General features: G+C 49.5%; 1 protein-coding gene across 9 annotated transcripts in view, besides 2 other annotated features; it reads left to right on the top strand.

Moving 5' to 3' along the window:
- Positions 1 to 25924, top strand: part of KIAA0513 — a 66436-nt gene that overhangs the window by 3372 nt on the left and 37140 nt on the right. The window contains exon 1 of one of the 9 annotated variants that reach the window (XM_017023912.2): positions 14473 to 17166. The exons of 6 other annotated variants lie outside the window; for them this stretch is intronic. The gene's annotated coding sequence lies outside the window, so the exon portion shown is untranslated. Of the gene's footprint in view, positions 1 to 14472; positions 17167 to 25924 lie in introns of those variants that run through there. 2 more of the 9 variants (XM_047434981.1, XM_047434983.1) reach the window with 2 other exon arrangements.
- Positions 3937 to 4437: an enhancer, noted in NCBI's record as "H3K4me1 hESC enhancer chr16:85068709-85069209 (GRCh37/hg19 assembly coordinates)". NCBI's record gives its function as "activates a minimal SCP1, AML or CMV promoter by ChIP-STARR-seq in naive H9 embryonic stem cells {active_cell/tissue: H9 hESC(naive)}" and the evidence as "EXISTENCE:reporter gene assay evidence [ECO:0000049][PMID:30033119]".
- Positions 25097 to 25391: a silencer, noted in NCBI's record as "tiled region #15308; K562 Repressive DNase unmatched - State 25:Art". NCBI's record gives its function as "represses a minimal TATA promoter and a strong SV40 promoter by Sharpr-MPRA in K562 cells {active_cell/tissue: K562}" and the evidence as "EXISTENCE:reporter gene assay evidence [ECO:0000049][PMID:27701403]".

The raw sequence follows: 25924 nt of genomic DNA on the forward strand, positions 1-25924 counted from the left end.
GACAAAAGTAATCGTTAGAAAGACTTGGCCTTGGCTGGGTGTGGTGGCTACGCTTGGAATACCAGCACTTTGTAGGGGCCAGGGTGGGCGGATCACTTGAGCCCAGGAGTTCAAGATCAGCCTGGGCAACATGGCAAAACCCCGTCTTTACCAAAAAATAAACAAAAATTAGCCAGGTGTGGTGGTGCAAACCTGTAATCCCAGCTACTAGGGAGGCTGGGGTGGGAGGATCAGTTGAGCCCCAGAGGTGGAGGTTGCCATGAGCTAAGAATGTACCACTGCACCCCAGACTTCAGTTTTAAGACCGTGATTATGCGAGAGTGGTCGTTTAAAAACTCTTGAGTTAAATCTTGTCTGTCCCCAGCAGCTTCCCAGGACCTTGGTCAACTAGGGCAACTGCACAGGTGCTGACTGACCCTGCCTGTTTCTCCAGCTTCATTGACTGCTGCTGTCATTCACCACGGTCCTGCCTTCTTCCTGTGCCTTCCGTGTGCCAAGATGACTCTGCCTCAGGACCTTTGCCTGGGCTGTTCCTCCCCTTTCCATGGCCAGCTTCCTGTCATTCAGGTCACTGCTGCAATATCACATCCTTAGTGAGACCTTCCCTAATAGTCAAAATAATGTTCCTTTTTCCTCTGATCCCTGCCCACTCACTCTATCATATTACAGTGTTTTATTTTCTTCATAACAATATCAGAAATGACCTTGTTTAATGGAGAATGCTTTTACTAGAGACGGTGAAACCTAGCCTGGCTAGCGGACCACTGGGCAAGAGAATTCAGGCACTAGACAGACAGTAATGCCAGGTCACCTTTATTTCTCTCGGGAGTGCTCTCACAAAGAACCACGCACTGGGGCTTAAAGCAACCGAAATTTATTCTCACAGTTCTGGAGAACAGAAGTCCAAAATTAAGGTGTCGACAGGGCTGGTTCCTTCTTGGGGACTCAGAGGGAGACTCTGTGCCTCACTCCCAGCTTCTACTGGTGGCCGGTGATCCGTGTTGTCCCCTCACTGGCAGCTGCATCACCCCAGGGTCTGCCCCTGTGGCCACATGGCCTACTTGTCCCTGCATGTTTGTCTCCACTTCATGTCTCCTCCTGTGGGTCTGCCTCTCTTCTCCTCTTAAAAGGGCACCAGTCGGATTGGACCTGGGGTCCACACTACTCCATTGTGACCTTCTGTTTTCTTGAGACAGAGTCTCTGTTGCCCAGGCCGTAGTGCAGGGCATGATCTCAGCTCACTGCAACCACTGCCTCCCAAGTTAAAGCCATTCTTCTGCCTCAGCCTCCCATGTAGCTGGGATTACAGGTGTGTGCCACCACGCCTGGCTAATTTTTGTATTTTTGGTAGACATGGGGTTTCGCCATGTTGGCCAGGCTGGTCTCAAGTTCCTGACCTCAAGTGATCCTCCTGCCTTGGCCTCTCAAGTGGTGGGATGACCTCCTCTTAACTAATTACATCCACAAAGACCCTTTTTTTTTGAGACAGAGTTTCAGTCTGTCGTCCAGGCTGGAGTGCGGTGGCACAATCTTGGCTTACTACAAGATCCGCCTCCCGGGTTCACACCATCCTCCTGCCTCAGCCTCCCGAGTAGCTGGGACTACAAGTGCCTGCCACCACTCCCGGCTAATTTTTTGTATTTTTAGTAGAGGCAGGGTTTCACCGTGTTAGCCAGGATGGTCTTAATCTCCTGACCTCATGATCCGCCTACCTGGGCCTCCCAAAGTGCTGGGATTACAGGCATAGAGACCGCGCCCGGCCCCACAGAGACCCTATTTTCAATTAAGTTCACAGATTCCCTGGGTTAGGACCTCAGCATATCTTTTGGGTCCAGGGGTTGCGGCGGGTGTGCCTGAATTCAATCCATAATGCCTTCCAGCATCAAGATGCAGTGATGTTTTAAAGGGATTGGCAGGAGGTGCTCAGTTATTTTTAGGGATAATGACAGGGATGTGGACGTTTTTACGAGAAGCATTCATGATCCTTATGATTTGCGAGACAAGTACTGACCGTTGTGCTTCACCGTGAAGAGGTCGAGCAATCCAGCGACCTGCCCGAGGCCATGCGGCTCCTGACAGTGAATCTCCTCACTTCTGATTGCAGAGCCCACAACATCTTTACCCCTCCCAGCAGGGACGCCACAGCAGCAGGGATGCCACAGCTGCTTCAGGTCAGGATGCAGGGTTTCTCTGATGCACTCTGCAGGGGCCCAGAGAGATGATTCCCTTCTTTTGCGTTTTGCTGCACTGGTCCTTGTAGTGGAGGAACAGCTCATCGGCGTCCAGCAGTGAAATAAATGGCGCGGGTGAATACGATGCCCTGCCACTTAGGCAATGCTGCCCAGAGGCGGTGGCGTATGTAGAAGCCTCCTCCCGTGTGTAATTTGGAAGGGCTGTTCACGAAGGCCTCCAGAGCTCTGCACTTCTGCATCTCATATCTGACCAAGGGTGAGCCCTCAGGGAGTTCATAGAGCAACTTTTCTCCCTTTGGGCTGGGGGTGGGGGCAGGGATGGGGGAGGGTAGAGCAGGACCGTCGCCAGCTGACTTATCTGGTGACTGGCACTGGCACCTGGAGATGCCTCAATTCCTCATTCTGTCACCCAGATACTCAATATGCCCGTCTTTATTTATTTTTGACTAAGTAATATGTGCAGATGGTACCAAATTCAAATGATACAGAAAGATGTCGTAGTTTGTCTCTCCCTGCCCCACCCCCCACTTCCCAGTTACCCTCCCCAGTGGCATTACTGCCCATTTCTTGTGTCTCCTTCCAGAGATCCAGTGTCCTTTTAATGTCCCCAATTACCATCATCCCCCTCACCCCGTGGGCCATGCTCGCCATCCCTCCCCTCAATCCTTCCTTCCTCCAACCTCGCCACAGCACATCTGTTGGGACAGATGACTTGTTTCCCATGTTAAGAGCTGATGAGGCCAGGCATGGTGGCTGATGCCTGTAATCCCAGCACTTTGGGAGGCGGAGGCAGGTGGATCACTGGAGGTCAGGAGTTCGAGACCAGCCTGGCCAACATGGTGAAAACCTCTCTCTTACTAAAAATACAAAAATTAGCCAGGCATGGTTGTGGGTGCCTCTAAGCCCAACTACTAAGGAGGCTGAGGCAGGAGAATTGCTTGAACCTGGGGGGTGGAGGCTGCAATGAGCTGAGATCACACCATTGAACTCCAGTCTGGGCGACAAGAGGGAAGCTCCATCTCAATAAACAGCGACAACAACAAAAAAGCTGATGACTGTACTCCTGCCAAGGAGTTTATCTGGGGAAGGAAGGTGCTTAGCAGAAATGAGTCTGTAGAGGTAAATGTGGGGCAAGAGTGTGGGGAAAGGGCTTTTATTTATGGGGTGGTTTTCGTAGTCTTGTGCCTTAGACTTCACTCGGTAGGGTTTGCCCTGTCCAGGGCAAGTACAGAGGACTCACCGGAAGGAAGGCGATGGGGGCAGTTTATCTTATGTGGCTGAGGTATAAAAATAGTGTGGTTGTTATTATGGCTCATATTTATAGGGTTTCCTCTGTCCACGCCCAGCTGTGTGCCCAGTGCCTTATGGGGCTGTCACTTTAGCCCTCACCAAAACAGTATAACGTAGCCAAGGTTACCGTCCCCATTTCACAGATGAGAAAACTGAGGCATAGAGAGGCAGAGTAACATGGCTCCATCACACAGTGTGTAGGGGCAGCGCCAGCACATGGGTCAGGGCAGCCCATCTCTGGACCTGGGTTCTTTGCCTCTCCCCTGTGCTGCCTCTCCTGAGAAAGTGCAGGTCACCTTTGAGACCCCCTGTCACCGGAGACAAGTGCTCTGCAGGGCGCTGGGCCCCTAAGCCCCACCCCACACCTGTGCACCTACCTCTGCCCCCCTTCCCCAGGCCGAGCCGTCAGGTACCCTGCTTCCTCTCAGCCCTCTGATTTCCACCTGGCTGTCAAAATCCCAGGCCCCAGGACATCTTCCCGGAGCCCCCAGTTCTCCGAGCATGGCCATGGTGGTGCTGGGTCTGTCCCCCATTCCGTGGCAGGCACTTGTCTCTTGCCCCCTTCGCTGCCTGTTCCTCTCTGAGCAGGTCAGAAGTGGCTCTGCAAGTTCTGTGTTGTCCTGCTCGTTCTTCGGTTCCCCAGGCCTAGCCCAGTGCTCAGCATGGAGCAGGTGACGAAGAAACGCTGGTAGCACAGGCAGCTGGTGGTTTAGGAAGCCCTGGTCTCCACCTGGCTCTGTGGGGACCCTCCTCTCCCAGGCTGTAAAAGGAAGGCTTTAACCTCAAGTCTTTTAGCGTCAGAATCTCTCTCACTTTGCTTACGCTGTTTGTTTTGTTTTTTGTTTGTTTGTTTGTTTTTAGAGATGAGATCTTGCTCAGTCGTCCAGGCTGGAGTGCAGTGGTGCAATCACCGCTCACTGCAGCCTTGATCTCCCGGGCTCCAGTGATCCTCCCACCTCAGCCTGCCAAGTAGCTGGGACTACAGGCATGTGCCACCATGCCCCACTAATTTATTTTTATTTTTTATTTCTAGTAGAAATGGGATCTTGGCTGGGCGCGGTGGCTCACGCCTGTAATGCCAGCACTTTGGGAGGCTGAGGCGGGCGGATCATGAGGTCAGGAGATCGAGACCATCCTGGCTAACACAGTGAAACCCCGTCTCTACTAAAAGAATACAAAAAAATTAGCCAGGCTTGGTGGCGGGTGCTCGTAGTCCAGCTACTTGGGAGGCTAGGCAGGAGAATGGCATGAACCTGGGAGGCAGAGCTTGCAGTGAGCCGAGATCGTGCCACTGCACTCCAGCCTGGGCAACAGAGCGAGACTCCGTCCCAAAAAAAAAAAAAAAAAAAAGGAATGGGTTCTTACTATGTTGCCTGAGCTGGTCTTGCACTTCTGGGCTCAAGCAATCCTACCGCCTTGGCCTCCCAAAATGCTGGGATTACAGGCATGAACCACCACACCTGGCCTGCTTAGAGTGTTTAAACAGCCTTCTTTCCTCCTTCTTTGTTTGTTTCTTTAACAGCTTATTGAGTATGTTTTAGATATCATAACATTTTTCCATTTCAATTGTACAATTCAGTGATTCTTAGTAACTTTACTGAGTGATGCAACCCTTATCATAATCTAATTTCAGAATGTTTCCATCACTCCATCAACGAAACCCCTTTCCCATTTGCAGTCTCTGCCCCTGCCTCCCAAACTGGCCTCTGACAACCACTAATCCAGTTTCTGACTCTGTGGATTCGCCTGCTCTGGACATTTCGTAAACCTGGAATTGTCCAGTATGTGGCCTTGTAACTAGATTCATTTTTAGTTCATTGCTATTGTAGCACGTGTCCATCCTTTGTTCCTTTTTAGTGTGGATGTTTTTAGTGATTGTCTAGTACTGGGAAAGAGTGCCGGTGCCTTCTGGCCCTCTGCACTCGTCTCCATCTGCCCTCTTGCAGATGGAGCCTTTGATTGTGGGGTGGACGAGCAGGCAGTAGCCCTACTGGGTGTGCTTATGTGTTACGCCACAGACCTTACTTGACTGTCACAGTGTTCCCGTACTTTCCTTTCTGTTCCAGGATCCAGTCCAGGGGACCACATTGCATGTGGTCACACCAGCCCAGCACCCCCTGCCCGGGGACAGCTCCCGCCTTTCCTTATTTCACACACAGTTTGGTGGTCTCCATGTAACACGGGATCTTCATAGCTCCCAGAAGGAAAGCCATGCAGCGGCAGCGTGTGTCTGAGGCCCGCCTTGCTCAATAGAGGAAGAACCTGACTTGAGAAAATCCTGCTTTCATTCTTGCAGGGTTTCTGGCCTTATTCCAGAAACTTTCTCCTGCCTCTAAATATCAGAAATGCATGGCCAGGACCCATAGCACTGTAGGAATAATTTCTAGCCAAGGCTGATGGGGATGGTAAATTAGAAGAAGGAAAGGAGAGAGAAGGGGATTATTTTTTTCTCTTCATGACTAAGTCCATGTAGGAAAGCATGCGCCTGGCAGACCATCTTCTTCAGTGACATCCTTTTCTCTGCCAGGTGTGTTTGGAGACATTTTCCTGGCCTTTACATCACAGCCAGGCGTGACTCACAAGCAGATGACTCAGTGGCAAAAGTGACCAATGAGCTAGGGGAAAATGAGAATCTGGGAACAGTGGAACAAATGGAAAATGCCAGAGTCAGTGCGTGTGGACGGCTGCTGTGACGCTGACTTCCTTGAGTCAGGGGATATCGGGTGAACCTAGGACGCTAGGATACAAAATGGGACCCTGAAAGGAGGGGTGGAAGCCTCATGAGGGAAGAGAACCACATTCTGAGTGAATAGTAAGTATCGAGAATGCAATAAAAGAATGAGATGAGACGAACACAGTGTCCATATGTCAATGTCAAACCTAAGACTGCCTCCCGTAATTTTTTAAAAACTTAATTTGCAGTGGTTAGAAGGAAATAGAAAACCCGTTAACCAAGTAAAACTAGTCTAATCCGCACTCTATTCAGTGAGAGGCAGATTATGTTGAACTTCATTATGCAGAACAACATCACTCCTAGAATCCCAAGGCCCAATTTGGATAATAAAAAACACTTTATGAGTCTGCTCTTGTGGAAGCAAGCGGTATTCTACATAATCAGAAATTTAATGGAAGTAGAATTAACAAAGTCATCTATGCTGTGGGAAAGAAGTAGCATCTCTCACGTCCTCTCTCCCTCCTCCAGGGAACCCTCCCAAGTGAGCTGGAGTGGCCAAGAGCAGAGGGGCCCCGTGAGGCTGCACGTCCTACCTGTGGTCCTGCATCTGTTCTTGCTAGCATGCCAGTCCACTCTCCACACAGTGGCCAGAGTGCAGCATCTTTCCAAAATCGAATTCAGGTCATGGCATTCCCCAGGTGTAAACCCTCTAGTTGCTCCTGGGATGTATTCCCAAGTCTGTAACTTGGCCTGCAAGTCCCTGCTTCCATGGGCTGGTCCCTGTAGCCCTCCCACCCTCAGCTCCTTCCACGCCACCTCTGTGCACCCCACTGGGCCACACTATGTCGCCGTAGATAGAATGGCCCAGGTCCATGCCCTTGAAGAGCATTGACTTTGCCTCTTCCCTGGGCTGGGCCCCACGGCCTCTGGATCATAGTGACCTCCCCGCTTTCTCCGGCTGAAGGTGCTCCTTGCTGCCAGCCGCCTTCCCTAACCCAGCACAATCCAGCAGAAATGCAAGACGCACCACGTGTATGATTTTAAATCTAGCAGCCACATTAAACAAGTAAGGGTATCTAGCAGTATAATTTATTTTTTAATTGGCCGGGTGCAGTGGCTCATGCCTGTAATCCCAGAAGTTTGGGAGGCTGAGGTGGGTGGATCACTTGAGGTCAGGAGTTCCAGACCGGTCTGACCAACACAGTGAAACTCCATGTCTACTAAAAAGACAAAAAGATAGCTGGGCGTGGTGGTGGGCACCTGTAATCCCAGCTACACGGGAGGCTGAGGCAGGAGAATCACTTGAACCTAGGAGGCGGAGGTTGCAGTGAGCCAAGATTGTGCCACTGCACTCCAGCCTGGGCGACAGAGCCAGACTCAGCCTCAAAAAAAAAAAAAAAATAATAATAATAATATCTTTGTTGATAGATTCTATTTAACTCAATGTATCCAAAATATTATTATTTCTACATGTAATCTATATAAAAATCACTAATGAGGTAGTTACATTCTCTTTTCTGTCCAAAGTCTGAAGTCTGATGTGGTCAGCAGGTCACAGCTTGAACGAGCCACATTCATGGGCTCAAGGGCCGCATGTGGCCAGCGGCTACCACAGTGGGTAGCACAGCTCTGACCTGTTAGTGACGTATTTTATTCATAGCACAGATGATGGCTATAGTATTTTTGTTTGCTTTTTTTGCTCTCTGACTAGGACATAAGCTCCCTGAGGGCCAGGCTTTTGTCTCTTTCACCCGGAGCAATGCCTGGTGCACTGTAGATGCTCAATAATACTTGTTGAGTGATTGAATGGACGGAGGCCAAACACAAACCCTCAATTCTCCTGCTGCTATAGAGGTCACGGAATAGTCAGTGCCATTGGAAGCCTATTTTAACCAGGCCCATTTAATGTCGCAAGGTTCCTTGTAACCCAAAACACTGTTTTATGTAGGGACTTATGTATCATCAAAGGTCTGTATGATTACTCTTTTTAATTTTTTTGAGATAGGGTCTCACTCTGTTGCCCAGGCTGGAGTGCAGTTGCACGATCAGGGCTCCCTGCAGCCTCAACCTCCTGGGATGAAGTGATCCTCCTGCATCAACCTCCTGAGTAACTGGGACCATAGGCATGTGCCACCACGCCCAGCTACTTTTATTTATTTTTTGTAGAGATGGGGTTTTGCTGTGTTGCCCATGCTGGTCTTGAATTCCTGGGTTCAAGCGATACTCCCACCTCAGCCTCCTGAGTAACTGGGACTACAGACTTGGGAATACTCCTGAGTAACTGGGACTACAGACATACGTCACCATGCCTGGCTAATTTTTATATTTTTTGTAGCAATGGGGTTTCGCCATGTTGGCCAGGCTGGTCTTGAACTCCTGACCTCAAGTGATCCCCCTGCCTCAGCCTGCCAAAGTATTGGGATTACAGGTGTGAGCCACCACTGCTGGCATGATTACTCTTTATTGGGTTTGGTTTTTCCGGATGATGCTGATACCAAAGAAAGAAAGGTTTTCTTTTCTTTTTTTTTTTTGAGGTGGCTCTCACTCTGTCACCCAGGCTGGAGTGCAGTGGCACCATCTTGGCTCCCTACACCCTCCGCCTCCCAGGTTCAAGCAATTCTCCTGCCTCGGCCTCCTGAGTAGCTGGGATTACAGGCATGTGCCACCGCGCCTGGCTAATTTTGTATTTGTAGTAGAGACAGGGTTTCACCATGTTGGCCAGGCTAGTCTCGAACTCCTGACCTCAGGTGATCCGCCCGCCTCAGCCTCCCAAAGTGCTGGGATTACAGGCATGAGCCACCGTGCCCGGCCAGAGAAGGGTTTTCAACAGGAAGCAAGTGCAGAGATTGAGATTCTTTGAAGCTATTGCTTGGAGTTAATATAGATCAGGAATTTTCAACTGGAGACATTTTCAGTTGTGACAACTCGGGGGTGCTTCTGGCATCTAGCGAGTGGAGGCCAGGAGTGCCCCAAGCATCCTATAGTGCAAGGACAGCCCCCACCACAAGGAGTGACCCAGCCCAAATATTAACAGTGTCATTGTCAAGAAACCCCACTGTTGGCTGGGCGTGGTGGCTCACGCCTGTAATCCCAACTACTCGGGAGGCTGAGGTAGGAGGATCGCTTGAACCTGGGAGGTGGAGGTTGCGGTGAGCTGAGATCGCACCACAGCACTCCAGCCTGGGTGACAGGATGAGAATCTGCCTCAAAAAAAAGAAACTCCAATGTCCATCATCGCAGGTACACGTTTGTTGCTGTCTCGGAATTACCTCTGGTAACGTTGGGAAAGTTTTTAGTTTCAGGAAACTTGAGAGGTTCCACGCAGGCCCCATCTTTTCATTCCCTTCTCTCTGTTCAGGTTAAACCCTCCCCAAGCTATCATTGCTTTTCCTAAAAGCACAGACTAAATGGGAGCCGCCTGCAGCCAAAGCGTTTTGAGATGAAAGAAAATTGGCTCCACTTGTAAACTACAGATGAGAATTTTGTAGAGAAGCCATCTAGAGAAGCGTGTGCCTTGAGAACTGTGGATCAATACACTTAAAGCAGTCCTTGGAACCTATTTAGATACGCTTGAAGCAAAACAGCCGCAGAAACCTCTTTCTTTTCGCTCACATGCAAGTAAACATCTGCCAACTCCACCATTTCCAGGCTCCTCAAAAATGCATTTGCATATTGCAAAGCAGGACTAGAGTGCAGAATGAGATGTATTTTAATTCTTGTTATATATTAAGGTCCCCTAAATAAGAATTCAGCTCCTGTTTTATTATGGGTAGAAAAGTGGTTGATTATATATGTTTCAGTTTTAGGGTTTTGGGGAATACTTCCAAATAGAAACTGAAGTTGTGCTAGACTAGGCAGTATTTTTTTAATCCTTCCCAACTCTCCAACTAGGTCGGAATCAGTCTGAATTAGCCATGTGGGGGATAGCAAACCACCTCACGCCTGTCACTTCGCGCCAACTGTTTCCTCTGTCCGGAATATCTTCCGTTGTATGACTGACAGGCTCAGGCTTCTACCAGATTTCACCCAAAGAACGCAGCCCTTGAAAACCGCCCCAGGCAGAGTGGAGTTCTGCTCCTGGGCTCCTACTGGCATCTGCCTCCTGGAGTCAGAGCGTATGGCACGTGGCTGTCATCTTCTCTGTATGCGTCTCTCTGGATTGTGCTTGGGAAAGGAAGGGTCATGTCCTATTCATCTTTGTTTCGTAGGATTTATCACAGTTCCAGTGCTTGATAGGGGCTTCAAGATGGTTGCCAAGTGAATGGCTTGAACTGGACAAAGTAACACCTTTTGTCTCGCTACTCGGGCGCTGCCTCCATCCGTAAGGAAAGGAGAAGTGGCAGAGACAGCAGCTGTCCTCTTCAGCCTCCGGTGATGAAATTCCCGGACTTGGCACTGAGCAGAGAGGTGACAAGCCACCCGGGGAAGGAGGGACCCTGGGTTCCCCTGTTTCTCTGTGTTACCCAGCTGGTGACACGGTGGGTGGAAAATGGGGGTTCTGGACCCATCTGAGGAAACCACCGCCTGACTTTGGGGATACAGCTTCACCTTGTCACTTCACTCTCTGGGCTTCAGTGTCCCGCTCTTGAAACGATTCCCGGGATTCCGAGCGTTTGCCCCTATGCTGCGCACTCCTGTCCCTCCTTGTCTGTCTGCCAAGCCCCTACCCATTTGCCAGAAGCCTGAAGTCTCATGTAACCCTGACATCCTGGGGTTTTATTTGAGTAACACAAAGTCTAGAATTAATTAGTGCACAGCTGTTTTGTTCCCACTTGTTTGCAAACATCCTTTATTCTCTTATAATTATTGTAATAACATTCAACTCTTTTCTTTTGGCAGCGAGTAACTTTTGCGAAAGCCCAGCATTTATGGGTGAAAAGTGCTAAGCCCTCCTTGTTTGTCAGTCTCTACTAAAGTGGGAAATAGAGAAGTTCAAATGCTTTGGATGGGATATCAAATTGCTAATCACGTGCGGTCTGTGTGTCTTCCAAATGAGGAGACCTATAGGTTGAGTCTTTTCCCATGGTGTTGGTCGAGGGAGTATTAATCCACCCCGGTGTACTGCAGCTATGTAAAGGGTCCTTATTCATCCCCCAGATGAGCAAATAGGGGGCAGGGTCCTTGTCCATACCCGCAATATTGTAAGGCTGTGGACTCCCCCTCTGCTTGGGTTTATCTAGACACTTCCATCTTTGCTCTGTAGCCTTAGGCAACTGTTTAACCCTTTTAAGCCTTAAAGTTTCTTCCTCCATAAAGTGGGGATAATAGTTTTAGCTCATATGTTACTGGAGAATGAAATCAGATAATTAATGCCTAGTATGTAGGGAATATACAATAAAGGTGAGTTGTAGTTATTATATCATTATCAAAAAGTAGTAAATAATGGTAATGCTGGGCATTGTGGAAAAGAATAGTCCAGACCAGCATGGCTCCCTCTCAGCAGTGCCGTGCACAGAGGCAGCAGCAGGCAGCAGTCGGCTTGGCCTTTCTGCAGGGCATTTGTGCCAGGCCTCGCCGTGGCACTCAGAGGCAGGCAGGCTTCTGACATTCCCCGAGAGGGAGGAGCAGAGACTTTTGAAATGTCTGAAATTGCCATCCTTTTATTCAAATATAAGTTTTTAAGGACACAATTTTTAGAAAACTGTGATTGTATATAACTTCTCTAACGGGTGGAATAAACATCTTTATTTTTAACAACTACGAGCTTTATAAACAAGTAGTAGGAAAGATAATTCTTTACATTTGCTAATATGTCATAACAGGCACAAACCGAAATACAATTTTAGACTAGCAGTGTATAAAAATACTTTTTAAATAGTAATTTTGATAGGTACAGTAGCACTTGAAAAAACAGCTGTGTAGTTATTCCTTGTGAGGACCTACTAAAACAATTCGATTTACTACCCCCAGCTACAACTGAAAGCACGAACCTGGAAAACAAGTTCTCTTACCCAGGTACACACCACACATACCTGCGCACTGAAACAACCTCCAGCCTCCGTCTATGGTGCACACCGATGAGGCGTCCTTCTCAAACAGGGCATGAGATGGCAGGGTTTGGAGCCTGTTGCTTCTTGGATTTTTTTTTTTTTTTTTTTTTTTTTTTTGAGACAGAGTCTCGCTCCATCACCCAGGCTGGAGTGCAGTGGTGCCATCTAAGCTCACTGCAACCTCTGCCTCCTGGGTTCAAGCAATTCTCATGCCACAGCCTCTTGAGTAGCTGGGACTACAGGCGTGCGCCACCACACCCGACTAATCTTTCATATTCTTAGCAGGGATGAGATTTCACCATATTAGCCAGGTTGGTCTTGAACTCTTGACCTCAAGTGATCCACCCACCTCAGCCTCCCAAAGTGCTGGAATTACAGGTGTGAGCTACCATGCCTGGCCAGGAAATGATGTTTAATGGATTGAAATGCCTTACTTGAGTCCGGACGCGGTGGCCCACGCCTGTAATCCCAGCACTCTGGGAGGCCGAAGCGGGCGGATCACCTGAGGTCGGGAGTTCGAGACCAGCCTGACCAACAAGGAGAAACCCCATCTCTACTAAAAATACAAAATTAGCCGGGCGAGGTGGCGCATGCCTGTAATCCCAGCTACTCGGGAAGCTAAGGCAGGAGAATCTTGAACCCGGGAAGCGGAGGTTGTGGTGAGTGGAGATTGCGCCAGTGCACTCCAGCCTGGGCAACAAGAGCAAAACTCAGTCTCAAGAGAAAAAAAAGAGAAATGCCTTACTTGAACCTTCTTGCTTGTAGACTGGCATGAACGTTTTTCCATCTTTGTTTCTTAAAAACCTCAATAGGACAGAAAGAAGGAAGCCCACCTTATCTTTTCCTTTTGTAGTCACTCATTAAGTTCTCTGTGGCTTGGGCCCTTGTCCCATCAACAGTGAAGACATTGGGTCAGTCGTATTGGTTTGTAACTGAGGAGAGGTGAACCAGTGGTGCCCGCTGTGTGTGCAGGGACTCTAGTCCCCAGGAAGGCATGTCGAGTGTCCCCTGTGTCATCTAGGGCAGGTCACAGCATTCAGCGAGGTGACTCAGAAATCAGGCCCCTCGTAGTATCCCAGAGGGGGACACGTTGACAATGTTTCCTTTCTTGGGGTTCGAAGTGAGGTCCCTGCTGTTCTGGAAACATAGTCTCTGTCCATCCACCACCACAAAGTAATGCTCCTCCTTTTTATTTTTATTTTTTTTTTTTTTTGAGACAGAGACTCGCCCTGTCGCCAGGCTGGAGTGCAATGGTGCGGTCTCAGCTCACAGCAACCTCTGCCTCCCAGGCTCAAGCGGTTCTTCTGCCTCAGCCTACCAAGTAGCTGGGACTACAGGCGCGTGCCACCATGCTTGGCTAATTTCTGTGCTTTTAGTAGAGACGGGGGTTTCACCATGTTGGCCAGGCTGATCTCAAACTCCTGACCTCATGATCCGCCTGTCTCAGCCTCCCAAAGTGCTGGGATTACAGGCATGAGCCACTGTGCCCAGGCAGTAATGCTCCTCTTAAGAAAGAAGGCATTTGGCCGGGTGTGGTGGCTCACACCTGTAATCCCAGCACTTTGGGAGGCCGAGGCAGGTGGATCATGAGGTCAGGAGACCAAGACCATCCTGGCTAACACAGTGAAACCCTCTCTCTACTAAAAATGCAAAAAATTAGCCGGGCGTGGTGGTGGGCACCTGTAGTCCCAGCTACTTGGGAGGCTGAGGCAGGAGAACGGCGTGAACCTGGGAGGTGGAGCTTGTAGTGAGCTGAGATTGCACCACTGCACTGCAGCCTGGGGGACAGAGCGAGACTCCGTCTCTAAATAAATAAATAATAAATGACAAAAAAAAAGAAAGCATCTGTCCCTCATCATGTCAATGGTCTGTAGCAGTCAGATGCGTTTCTGGACATCTCTGTGCTGTGAAAGAGCAGGTGAACGGGAGGCTGGGGCTACCACACATGCCTGGTTTCAGCTGATCAGGGCTGATTTATGGCCAAGCACTCACTGTTCTTTGGGGGAAGAGAGTCTTTATATTTGATACTTAAGCAGAGACCCAATGACCTTGTTTGTTTGTTTGTGACAGTCTTGCTCTGTCACCTATGCTGAAGTGCAGTGGTGCAATATTGGCTCACTGCAACCTCCGCCTCCCAGGTTCAAGTGATTCTCCTGCCTCAGCCTCCCGAGTAGCTGGGATTACAGGCACCCACCATCATGCCCAGCTAATTTTTGTATTTTTAGTAGAGATGGGGTTTCACTATGTTGGCCAGACTGGTCTCGAACTCCTGACCTCAAATGATCCACCTGCCTCGGCCTCCCAAAGTTCTGGATTACAGGCGTGAGCCACCGCACCCAGCCCCAGTGACCTTGTTTTAAGGACATGACATGGAATTCCTGGAACCGGGATCCGTTTTGAAGAGTCAGTGGTCCTAAGTTGTCATCAGGCAGGGGACCAGGTTCTGCTCTGTGCGTTGGCCTCTGCTCCAGCCTGTGCAGGCTGTGTGGACGAGTGCCACCTGCATCAGCGGGCACCTCGCAAGGCTTTGTTGAGCTCCAGTGAGTAGCCCACTTCCATCTGCCCATCTGGCTTGGACTTTCTGTACTTATCTTAGTCCCATGGCTGTGCTCCTGCAGGGCCAGGCAGATGATGGCAGCCGACAATGTGCATCTCAAAGGGACGACCACCCGAGGAAGGATCCACAGGAAATGTCGCAGGGGGTGGGTCGTGCCACAGCCCCTGGAAACGAGCCAGGATGTTGCCCTTGATCTTGCCTGCATTCTGGCTTTGCACATTGAGGGAGCTGCTTCGGCCCTTCCCTTGGTCTCTGGCTGTTTGAGCTTTATATAGAGAGCCGAGTAGGAGTCAACTCTTTGGGGCTGTCTCTTGTGAAGTCCTTCTTACCACGCGCCATGCCTTTCTGGGCAGTGCGGCTGCATCTTTCACACATGGCTATTCTCTTAGCAGTTTCTTACCCTGTACAGTTTAAAAACAAACATCTTACCTAACCTGGAGTGCTTTCTACATGCCCATGACACCTTTCTCCTTACAGAGGATGAAGAACCACGGAAAAACTTGGGGCTCCGATATTGCGAACTCCCTAAATTCTCCCACCTCCTTTCCCACATAACCTGATGCTCAGCCTACTGCTGACAAGCGTCAGCCCAGCGGAGGCCCGTCTGCTCTGCCTTCGTCATTTCTAGTCCCCTTCGGTTATGTTTCATGTTCCTCATTCTCACAAGAAAGAATCCCTTCCCTTCTACAGATGGACGGCCCGTCTGTAGGCTGGTGCCATCCTTCGAGGTCAGCTGGTGATACACACTGAGAGGGAACCTAGGTCCAGAATGTGCTTGTCAGGAAGGGTGTGCAGCCCAGGGTTCTCTCCGTGTTCACTGCCTCTTTCCTTTGTCATCTTCATTCTGCCGTTGAGCCTATCTAGTGGGTTTTTACAATTTCAGTTACTGTATGTTTAGTTCGAAGTTTTCCATTTGGTTCTCCTTTATACCTTCTGTTTCTTTCCTGAGACTTCTCATCATTCCCTTTATGTTAAGAATACCCCTCCTTACTTCTTGGAGTGTTTTTTGTAATAGCTGCTGTGGAGTCTGTCAGCTAATTCCAATGTCTCTGTTAGCTCAGATAAGATGTTGATCATCTTTTCCCATGCGAGTTGAGGATATTCACCTTCTTTGTATGCTGAGTGGTTCTGGATTGGTCCTGAACATTCTGAATATTACGTTAGGAAGCTGTGGTTCCTGATTCAGTCCTCTGGAGAGTTGTTGGTAGCTTGGTTGTGGCAGGCACTCCACCAGCTTGGGTTCAGGTTCTCAGTCCCTACCATTCTGCTGTGGGTTTTGGTGCCGTTTTCCAAGCCTTTGTCCACTCTTCAGATCTGTCCACTATGTAGCACTCCATGGCCTGTGTGGGCCCCGGGCATGCTCCGTCCTAACCTTCAGTGCTCAGGGTCTGTGCTTGAGGGCTCTGTTTACATATGCCTCGCTCAGGGCTGAGCCCAGGAGCTCGTAACAACTTGATGGGGTTGTTTTCCCGAGAGCTCCTCCCTCTCTGCAATCTCTCGAGCACTTTCCGGTTTCCTGGGCCTCCTATCTTCACCCCTTCAGCCAGGAGGCAGGGCTTCAGTTATCAGCTCTGCCACGCTTCTCCCGTGACTGAGCTTACTTTTGTGGCCAAGCAAGAAGAGGACACGGAGAAAAAAAGCCAGCGGGTTTTTCACCCTCTTTGGACCACCGTTCCTCCAGCTGGAAAGGAAGGTTTCCTCAGAGCTTCAGACACCTGCAGGCTGACCCCTCTGCTGGCACTGTCACTGTTGCCACCACTGCCGCTGTGGAATTTCCTGGGGACCAGGGCACCAGAGAGACAGGGAGAAAGGAAAAAACCCAGGGATCTGGCCCACTGTCTCAGAACCAGGTGACCCCTTTCCTGTTACTAGATGCTTCTCCTGGAGCCCCCGGGCACACTCTTGCTCGCCTCTGGATATCGAGTTGTATTTAGTCCAGGCTGGGGATACCAGGGTCAGGGACATGGCAAACTCACCGCAACCTTGGTGGCACTTCAAATTCTGGTCTTCAACCCCCTTCTACCTGCTACTGGTCAATTCTCAGAGGCCTCAGTAGCTCCTTTGTGTGCCTGTCTAGCCTTTTAGCCACATTCAGTGGGCAGGGAAGGGTGGCGGGGGTGGTGCTTACCCTGTGGAGTAACCATAAGGAAACCAGAACCATAAGGAAATGAGAAGATGTGTTTTAAAGGCCTTAAACAGAAACGTCTGGGATTACAAACAGAAATGAGGAAGTCAGGAATAAAGTAAAGGGTGAATGATTAGGTGAGAGTGAGCAGAAGCGCCTGATATGCAGGATCCTGTGGGCCTCTGGAGCCCATCCCCTAACTCCCTCACCCATCTTTCCATGTGCACCTTGCAGAGGGAGGAGGGAAGCCCTCTGCACCCACCCCGCCTTCCAGGTTGAGACAAAGGCTTCGACCGTCAGCACGCGAGCCTATCCTTTCCACGGGGAGTGTCAGAAAGGTATCGATGGAGACATGGAAAGGGGTTTCTAAGAGTCAAGAGTCTTTAATGCATGATATCAAGTGTCTGTATCCAGGTAGTCACCCATGTGCAGAGCCTCATGCTGCACGATTGGATCTGGGCTTGATAAAGAATTTAGTGTCTCAAAGCAGATCTCTCTCTCTCTCTCTCTTTCTCTCACTCTCACCCTCTCCCCCCTTTTTTTCTCAAAAAACAAAGCTTTTATTGCAAGAATGATTCTGGCTCTGTTAAAAGACTTTCTGAAGCTGGATGTGGTGGCTCACCCCTGTAATCCCAGCACTTTGGGAGGCTGAGGTGGGAGAGTTGCCTGAGCCCTGGAGTTCAAGGCTGCAGCGAGCCAAGGTTGTGCCACTGCACCTTAGCTTGGGTGACAGAACGAGACTGTGTCTCCAAATTCTACTAATGATGATAATAATACTAATCAAATATTGTTAAACATGTATCAACCAGATAAGGGAGGATTTCAGAAGACCACAAATGACCTGTAGAAAACAGTAGAACACAATAACAATCTTCCGATTTCTCCACATTGAGGGGCAGGTTTTGGGTTGGCCACAGCCCAGAGGGAGGTGGGGAGTGTGGTGGAAATTAAGAAAGCCTCAGCAAAGGTGCAGTGTGTGTGTGAGAGGGAGAGGGAGGGAAAAGCGGCCTGATTAGGGCAGAAGTTCTTTCTTGAAGACACCAACACCGAGTGCTTCTGTGAGGTTGCTTTGCACGGTGGCCATGTCCCCTCTGTCTTAGCTCCCTGCCAAACTGCGTGGGCAGCTACAAGCAGCTCCAGATTGCAGAGCGCCTTGGGCCCCAGCCAGAGATGGCAGGTGTCACGGGTAGGCAGGGACAGACACTAGTGGCTCTTGAGCAGAAGGCTCACTGTGGCCCGCCAGGCCATCCCTGGATCCAGGAGGATTTGCCCAGTCTTTCCTCCCATAGAGGCATGGATGTCCTCAGTGCACAGCTGTTAGCTTTGGCCCTTCATGGGGCCAGCGGGAGCTGAGCACCAAATCCAAAGACGGTGGAGGTTGGTTCCGTTCCACCCTCACCTACCTTGGGTTCTGATACGGTTTGGTTCTGCGTCCCCACCCAATCTCCTGTCGAATTGTAATCTCCAGTGTTGGAGGTGGGAGGTGATTGTATCACGGGGGCGAATTTCTCATGAATGGTTTAGTGCCATCCCCCTTGGCACTGTCCTCGAGATAGCGAGTTCTCATGAGATCTGGTTGTTTAAAAGCGTGTGGCACCTCCCCTCATTCTCTCTCTTGCTCCAGCTCCTGCCACGTAGGACGTGGCTGCTCCCTCTTAACCTTCTGCTGTGTTCATAAGTTTCCTGAGGCATCCCCAGAAGTCAAGCGGATGCCAGCATCATGCTTCCTGCCCAGCCTGTAGATCCAATTGAACCTTTGGTTTTATTCTTTATAAATTACCCAGTCTCGGGTATTTCGTTATAGCAGTGCAAGAATGGCCTCATTCACATTCATAAGGCCCGAGTCCTGCATCTCTTAGGGAGCCTCTCCCTGTCCAGTAATTAAGTGTGGCTGTCTCCATGCCAAGGGGTTGGGGCAATATTCATTTATTTTGCCAAATTACTTAAGAGTGGAAGGCCAAGTCGGTCTCTGTCCGAGTTGAATTCAGCTGTCCCGGAGTCAGCCGCTGTGTCCTTTTGTGAAAGAAGTACAGCCCGTCACCCAGGGAGGGCGCGCCTTATGGCGGGTTCTAACACGCAGTTGCAATGGAACCAACTCAGTCAATGGTGATCGCTGATGGTAAACAACCCCTCACCCTGCACTGTCTCGGTGCCTGAAACTCAAGGGCCCAGCCCTCGACTCAGGAATTACCTAGGACCAATTAAACAATGACTAAAGGGCAAAGTGTAAATCCAGGTGCTTGTGTGAGGTGACTTGAGTTGGGACTTAGGAGAACTTCTGAAAAAACAAGAAATTTCAAAGACTCCTACTCTGGAGGAGCTGTTGATTGATATTTATTTATTTATTTATTTATTTATTTATTTATTTTTTTTGAGACGGACTCTTGTTCTGTCACCCAGACTGGAGTGCAGTGGCGCAATCTCGGCTCACTGCAACCTCCACCTCCCGGGTTCAAGCCATTCTCCTGCCTCAGCCTTGGGAGGCTAATTTTTGTATTTTTAGTAGAGACAGGGTTTCACCATGTTGGCCAGGCTGGTCTCGAACTCCTGACCTCAAGTGATCCCCCTGCCTCGGCTTCCCAAAGTGCTAGGATTACAGGCGTGAGCCGCCGTGCCCAGCCGAGCTGTTGATTTATAACCATGGTGTTTCTTTTCTTCCCTCCCCAATCCCCTGGGGGCTGACTCACCCCTTGTTTTCCGCAGTGTGGTAGAGTTGGGTTTGTTGTGGAGCCTTGTGCATTGTTGCTGAGTCAAGGAAGGCAGAAACAGTAGATTGTGTGCTCTGTGCTGTGAGGAATGTATCCCCTGCACTGCCTGCCGTGTGCCCAGCACTTAGCACAGAGCCTGCCCTTCACAGGCGTTTACAAATGGACCCAGTGGGCCAGGTGCACTGGTTCATGCCTGTAATCCCAGCACTTCAGGGAGCCAAGGCGGCAGGATCACTTGAGCCCAGGTATTTGAGACCAGCCTGGGTAACACAGTAAGATCCCATCACTACAAAAATGTGTTAAAAAATTAGCCAGGCATGGTGGTGCAGCTACTTGGGAGGCTGAGGTGGGAGGATCACTTGAGCCTAGGAATTTGAGGTTAACATTGAGCTATGATTGCACCACTGCACTTCAGCCTGGGCGACAGAGTGAGACCCTGTCTTAAAAAAAAAGGAAAAGAAAAAAGAAAGGACCCAGTTGAAGCCCTAGTTTTGTGAGGTCGTCTTCGTGGAGAACTTAATGCGTTTTATTCTCCCACTGGGTTGGGGAACCAGCAGATGGCCCCTTATCTCTTTTTTTCTGTGAACTGTGAACCAAATTTAGATGTTTTCCTCTTCCCGGAGGTCATAAAATAGGACCTATCTTTGGATATAGCCATTATGACAGTTTTAGTGGAGAAGAACTGCATTAAGCTTTATAAAATGTTATCTCAGAAGAGAAATGGCAAGAAACCCTAGAGGTTCAATGGCCTCTCCCTGTTAATAACCTGTTAACAAGCAGACATCCCCATTCCCCTTCCCGCTTCCCTCAAAAGGAGACCCCAGAGAACTGTTCCGGTTGGTGGTGGCTCCGCCTTGCTGGAACTCCTCTGCAGGCTCAGCTTTCCTTCTGAGCCACATAGAATCATACTCTCTACTTCCTCTCACACAGCGACTCTTACACATTTAAAGACCACCATCTTGTCTCCCATGTTACTTACCCCCATGGTAAATTTCAACTTTCTCACCCTTGCTCATGTGATATGATTATTAGACTCCCTAACGATGCTGGCGGGGTTTGTTTGGGATTTCTTTGGATGCTCTCCAGGTTCTTGGTAGCTCTCGCCTTTTCCCTCTCATGTTTTTTTTTTTTTTAAGAGACGGGGTCTTGCTGTGTTGCCCAGGCTGGTCCCAAACTCCTGGGCTCAAGTGACCCTCCAGCCTCAGCCTCCCAAAGTGCTGGGATTACAGGCATAAGCCATTGTGCCTGGCCTCCTTTCATGATTTTTTAAGTCTTACAAGCACTTATTAAATGAAAATGCCTTTGCAAGGTTGTTATCCTTTCTAAAACGACGCATTGGCCAGGCGCAGTGGCTCACGCCTGTAATCCCAGCACTTTGGGAGGCCAAGGCAGGCAGATCACGAGGTCAACAGATCGAGACCGTCCTGGCCAACATGGTGAAACCCCGTCTCTACTAAAAATACAAAAATTAGCCGGGCATGGTGGCACACGCCTGTAGTCCCAGCTGCTCAGGAGGCTGAGGAAGGAGAATCGCTTGAACCCTGGAGGTGGAGGTTGCAGTGAGCTGAGATCACGCCACTGCACTCCAGCCTGGTGACAGAACGAGCAAGGCTCTGTCTCAAAAAGCAACAACAACAACAACAATAGCAACAACAAAAAGCTAGCCAGGCCTGGTGTCAGGCACCTGTAATCCCAGCTACTCGGGAGGCTGAGGCACCAGAATCGCTTGAACCTGGGAGGCCGAGGTTCCCAGGTTCCATTGCATCGTGCCATTGCACTCCAGCCTGGGCAACAAGAGCAAAACCCTGTCTCAAATCAATCAGTCAATCAGTCAATCAATCAATCGATGCATCCTAATGGGTTTCTTTGGGCTTAAGGTTTCAGGATAGCAATGAGTATAGATTCTTGGACGTGGCTAACCACAGTACTGCTGTGGAAAGTTGATCATTTCTCCTGAGGCATGGAATTGAACAGAGTGTTCCAGGAGCAGCCTGACCAGCAGAAGCAGAGTGAATGGCATCATCACTGTGGTTTGGGGGCAGGTGCTTTTGTCCGTGCATCTGAAGGTCGGTTCAGAGTTTGCTGTTTTCATTAGTTCCACATATGTTGACTCAGCAAGCGCGCCCTCAAGCAGTGAGCTGCCTCTCAGTATCGTGCTTGTGTAACTTCGGATCAAATTTTTATTTTTATTTTTATTTTTTTTATTTTGAGACCGTCTCGCTCTGTCACCCAGGCTGGAGTGCAGTGGCACGATCTCGGCTCACTGCAACCTCCTCCCAGGTTCAAGCGATTCTCTTGCCTCAGCCTCCCAAGTAGCTGGGATTACAGGTGCCCACCACCACACCCAGCGAATTTTTGTAGTTTTTAATAGAAACAGGGTTTCACCATGTTGGCCAGGCTGGTCTCGAACTCCTGACCTCAGGTGATCCGCCCACTTCAGCCTCCCAAAGTGCTGGGATTACAGGCGTGAGCCACCACGCCCGACCTGGATCAAATTTTTAGATAACCTCGCTAGTCATTTATGAGTTATTGGAAGGCAGACACCATGTTGTTTCTACATCATGCCTGATACACGGAAGGTACTCAGGAAACACCCAGCGAATGAATGAATTTCCCAGCCAGAGGCATCTTTTAGACCCAGCGCATTGCTGCAGCCTGCCAAAATCCTTTTGGGTCTCGATTGTGTCATTCTGTAAGTTAACTGTATCTCTTGGTTTTATGTTCCCACATTCTCTATCAACATGTTGTTTGCATTCATATCTGAATAATTAATAGGGTGTAAGGATAGGCCTGGACTAGAGTTTGCCCCATTAGGGATGGAGACATCTTTCCAGGTTGACTCTCTGGATAAGGCAGCTCAGCTATCATGTTTTATCAAACTTAACAACTCATCAGTCCTAAGATTCATCTTTATTTTATACATTACTAAGAAAGATTACTTGAGCCCAGGAGTTCAGAATCAGCCCAGGCAATATAGTGAGAAGTTGTCACTACAAAAAAATTTTTAAGGCCAGGCGCGGTGGCTCACGCCTATAATCCCAGCACTTTGGGAGGCTGAGGAGGCGCGGATCACAAGGTCAAAAGATCAAGACCATTCTGGCCAACATGGTGAAACCCCGTCTCTACTAAAAATACAAAAATTAGCTGGGCATGGTGGCGTGCACCTGTAGTCCCAGCTACTCAGGAGGCTGAGGCAGGAGAATCACTTGAAGCCAGGAGGCAGAGTTTGCAGCGAACTGAGATCATGCCACTGCACTCCAGCCTGGCGACAGAGCAAGACTCTGTCTCAAAAAAAAAAAAAAAAAAAATTAGCTGAGTGTGGTGGCGCATGCTTGTAGTCCCAGCTACTCGGGAGGCTGAGGTGGGAGGATCACTTGAGCCCAGGAGGTGGAGGTTGCAGTGAGCTGTGATTGTGCCACTGCACTCCAGCCTGGGTGACAGTGAGACCCTGTCTCAAAAATAAGATTAAACACTGCCGTTTACACTATTACACATTTTCTTATCACTTAGAATTTTTGTTCTATCCTTATTGAAAGAATGTCTTTTAGAATTACTTAGACATAGATTGTTATGTGTCACCTTGGTCCATAAGAAAGAAAATATAAGCAAAATAAATTGGTTAAAATACTTCGAAAGCTTCTTCACATTCAAAGACCCATATTTCTGAAGTTATCTCAGTGCCATTGAAATCTGTGTTTCTTTTTTTTCTTTTTCTTTTCTTTTTTTTTTTTTTTTTTGTTGTTGTTGAGATGGAGTCTCACTCTGTTGCCCAGGCTGAAGTGCAGTGGCCACATCTCGGCTCACTGCAACCTCCACCTCCCAGGTTCAAGCAGTTCTCTGTCTCAGCCTCCCAAGTAGCTGGGATTGCAGGTGTGCACCACCACACCTGGCTGATTTTTGTATTTTTAGTAGAGATGGGGCCTCACCATGTTAGCCAAGCTGGTCTCGAACTCTTGACCTCAAATGATCCACCCTCCTCAGCCTCCCACAGTTCTGGGATTACAGGCATGAGCCACCACGCCCAGCCAAAATCCATGTTTCTGTACAGTATCATCCTGTCGCCAGCAGTGTGCCCTTCCCAGAATGTGCCATCCATTTACCTTTGGGGAGGCCTAAAGGGGATGGCAATGTTGTACGTCCTGGCGCGGGTGGTGGCTGCATGGACGTATTCGCTTTGTGAGGGTTCATTGAACGGCATCGTTATGATTTATGTATTTTCTGTATTTCATTTTATTTTTGAGGCAGGGTCTCTCTCTGTTACAAAGGCTGGAGTGCAGTGGTACAATCTCGGTTTACTGCAACCTCTGACTCCTGGACTCAAGCAGTCCTCCCACCTCAGCCTCCCGAGTAGCTGGGACTACAGGTGTGTGGCACCACGCCCAGCTAATTTAGTTTATTTTTTTTAGAGACAGAGTCTCACTGTGTGCCCAGGCTGGTCTCAAACTCCTGGACTGAAGTGAGCCTCCCCGCCTTGGCCTCTCAAAGTGCTGGGATTACAAATATGAGCCACCGCCCCCAGCCTCTTTTTGTGGTTTTTTTTTGTTTGTTTGATTGCTTAAAAATAGAAAAGGAGTGTCCACTCTTGTCTCTAGACAGTACCATGATGGGCTGGTTGAAACAGTGGTAAGACACATGTGATTTCAGATATCTTAAAGTGCAAAAGAAAATAAGATGCATTTTAGGATAATGAAATACAATATTTCTAAATCCATGAAATTACACATTGTTTAGGCCATGTTCTGCCTCGTCTTCAAAGACAGAAAGTGAAAGTGAAGTCCCTTGCTAAAACTCAGTGTACTGTTCTACAGGACAGGACAATCTCCCTGATCTCTGAGTCTGTAACAAACACACACAAACAACTGCAGGGCTTAGTCTGGCACCAGCTCTTGACCTCAGCCCTCACCACTTCCCCTTCTTGGTGCTTGCAGAGTGTCGTGTTGGTAGCCTCTTTCTAGACACCTACTGACATGGATATCTTACTTAATCTGTTGCACAGAATCCGCCACCTTCTCCTTTTGAAATGAGGTTTCCATTTGCCCTTCTTCTCACCTCTCCCCCAGCCTGTTATCTTGGTTTTTTCGGAGATGAGAAATCGTGATTCAGAGAGTTCCTCTGTAAAGCCTGTGAGTTGTAATTCATCAGTGTGACAGCCGAGTGCTCGGAGCCAGCCTCCCAACAAGCGTGGGCTCTCGGGCCCACTCAAACTCTAAGCTGGTGCTTGGGTGGTGCTGCGGGGCAATCTGTGCTTTTTCTTTCCCTCCAGTGTCTCCCCCAGTCCCCATCCTGGCCTTGCCAGTGCTGCAGCTCAGCCCTTCTCTGCACTCTAAATGGTTCTGTGCTTTGTTTGTGCCTGTGGTTCAGCCCAGACCCCCCTGAAAGCCACAGCCAGCAGTTTCTCCTGTCCATGTGAGAAGCACGTGCCAGCAGGCACCTTGAACTCAGGATAGCTGGGGGTTGGTTGCGATGGACGGCACGACGGTCTGCAGTGGGGATCCAGGATCCCAGACATGGATCCTAAACTGCCATAGGAGCCATGCCTTCCTAAGCCTCCCACCCTTTGCTCCTTCCCATCAGCGCGGCGTTAGAAAAGCCCGCCTTTCCGAGGCCCCCTCTCAACACCGCCATGAGAAGTCTTTCAAACGCCCTGGAAGTTAGGTTCAGGAGAAGCCCGTCAGTAAGTTCCCCATCATACCACACTGCAGCGGTAGCTCTTTCCATTCCACAGAACAGCAGCCAGAGGGAGCCAGGGCAGCTTCACAGCCCACCCCACGGGAAATGCCTGACTTTCTCCATGTGGGTCCCTCTCCAGGAAAGCCTCCCTTCCCAGCTCCACTTAAAACCCACCCAGCCTTCCAAGACACAGTTCCCCAAGTCTTCCCTGAGAATCTCCTTGCCATTGGGTGTGCTCTTGCATTCCTCCGGGCCGCGCTCGCCGAGAGCCCTTTGTTCACTGGTTACGGTGCTGGCCCCCTCTGCTCAATTGCCCAATTATTTAGATGCTTGTCTTCTTGTTTTGAGGTGGGGTCTCACTCTGTCACCCAGGTTGGAATGCAGTGGTGTGATCATAGCTTACTGTAGCCTTGAACATCTGGGGTCAAGGAATCCTCATGCCTCAGCCTCCCAGACAGCTGGGTACTATAGGTGCATGCCTCCATGCTTGGCTAATTATGTTTTAAATATTTTGTAGAGACAAGGTCTCTCTTTGTTGCCCACACTGGTCATGAACTCCTGGCTTCAAGCGAGCCTCCTGCCTCAGCCTCCCAAAGGGCTGGAATTACAGGCAGGAGCCACTGCACCCAGCCGAGATACTTGTCTTATTTTTCCTACTGGGTGTACAGTGTCTGAAGACTGAGTCTGTCAGTTGTTCTTGTTTGCGCAGTGCCCTGTA

The sequence above is a fragment of the Homo sapiens genome, chromosome 16, assembly GCF_000001405.40.
Source record: "Homo sapiens chromosome 16, GRCh38.p14 Primary Assembly".
Classification (NCBI taxonomy): Eukaryota; Metazoa; Chordata; class Mammalia; order Primates; family Hominidae; genus Homo; species Homo sapiens.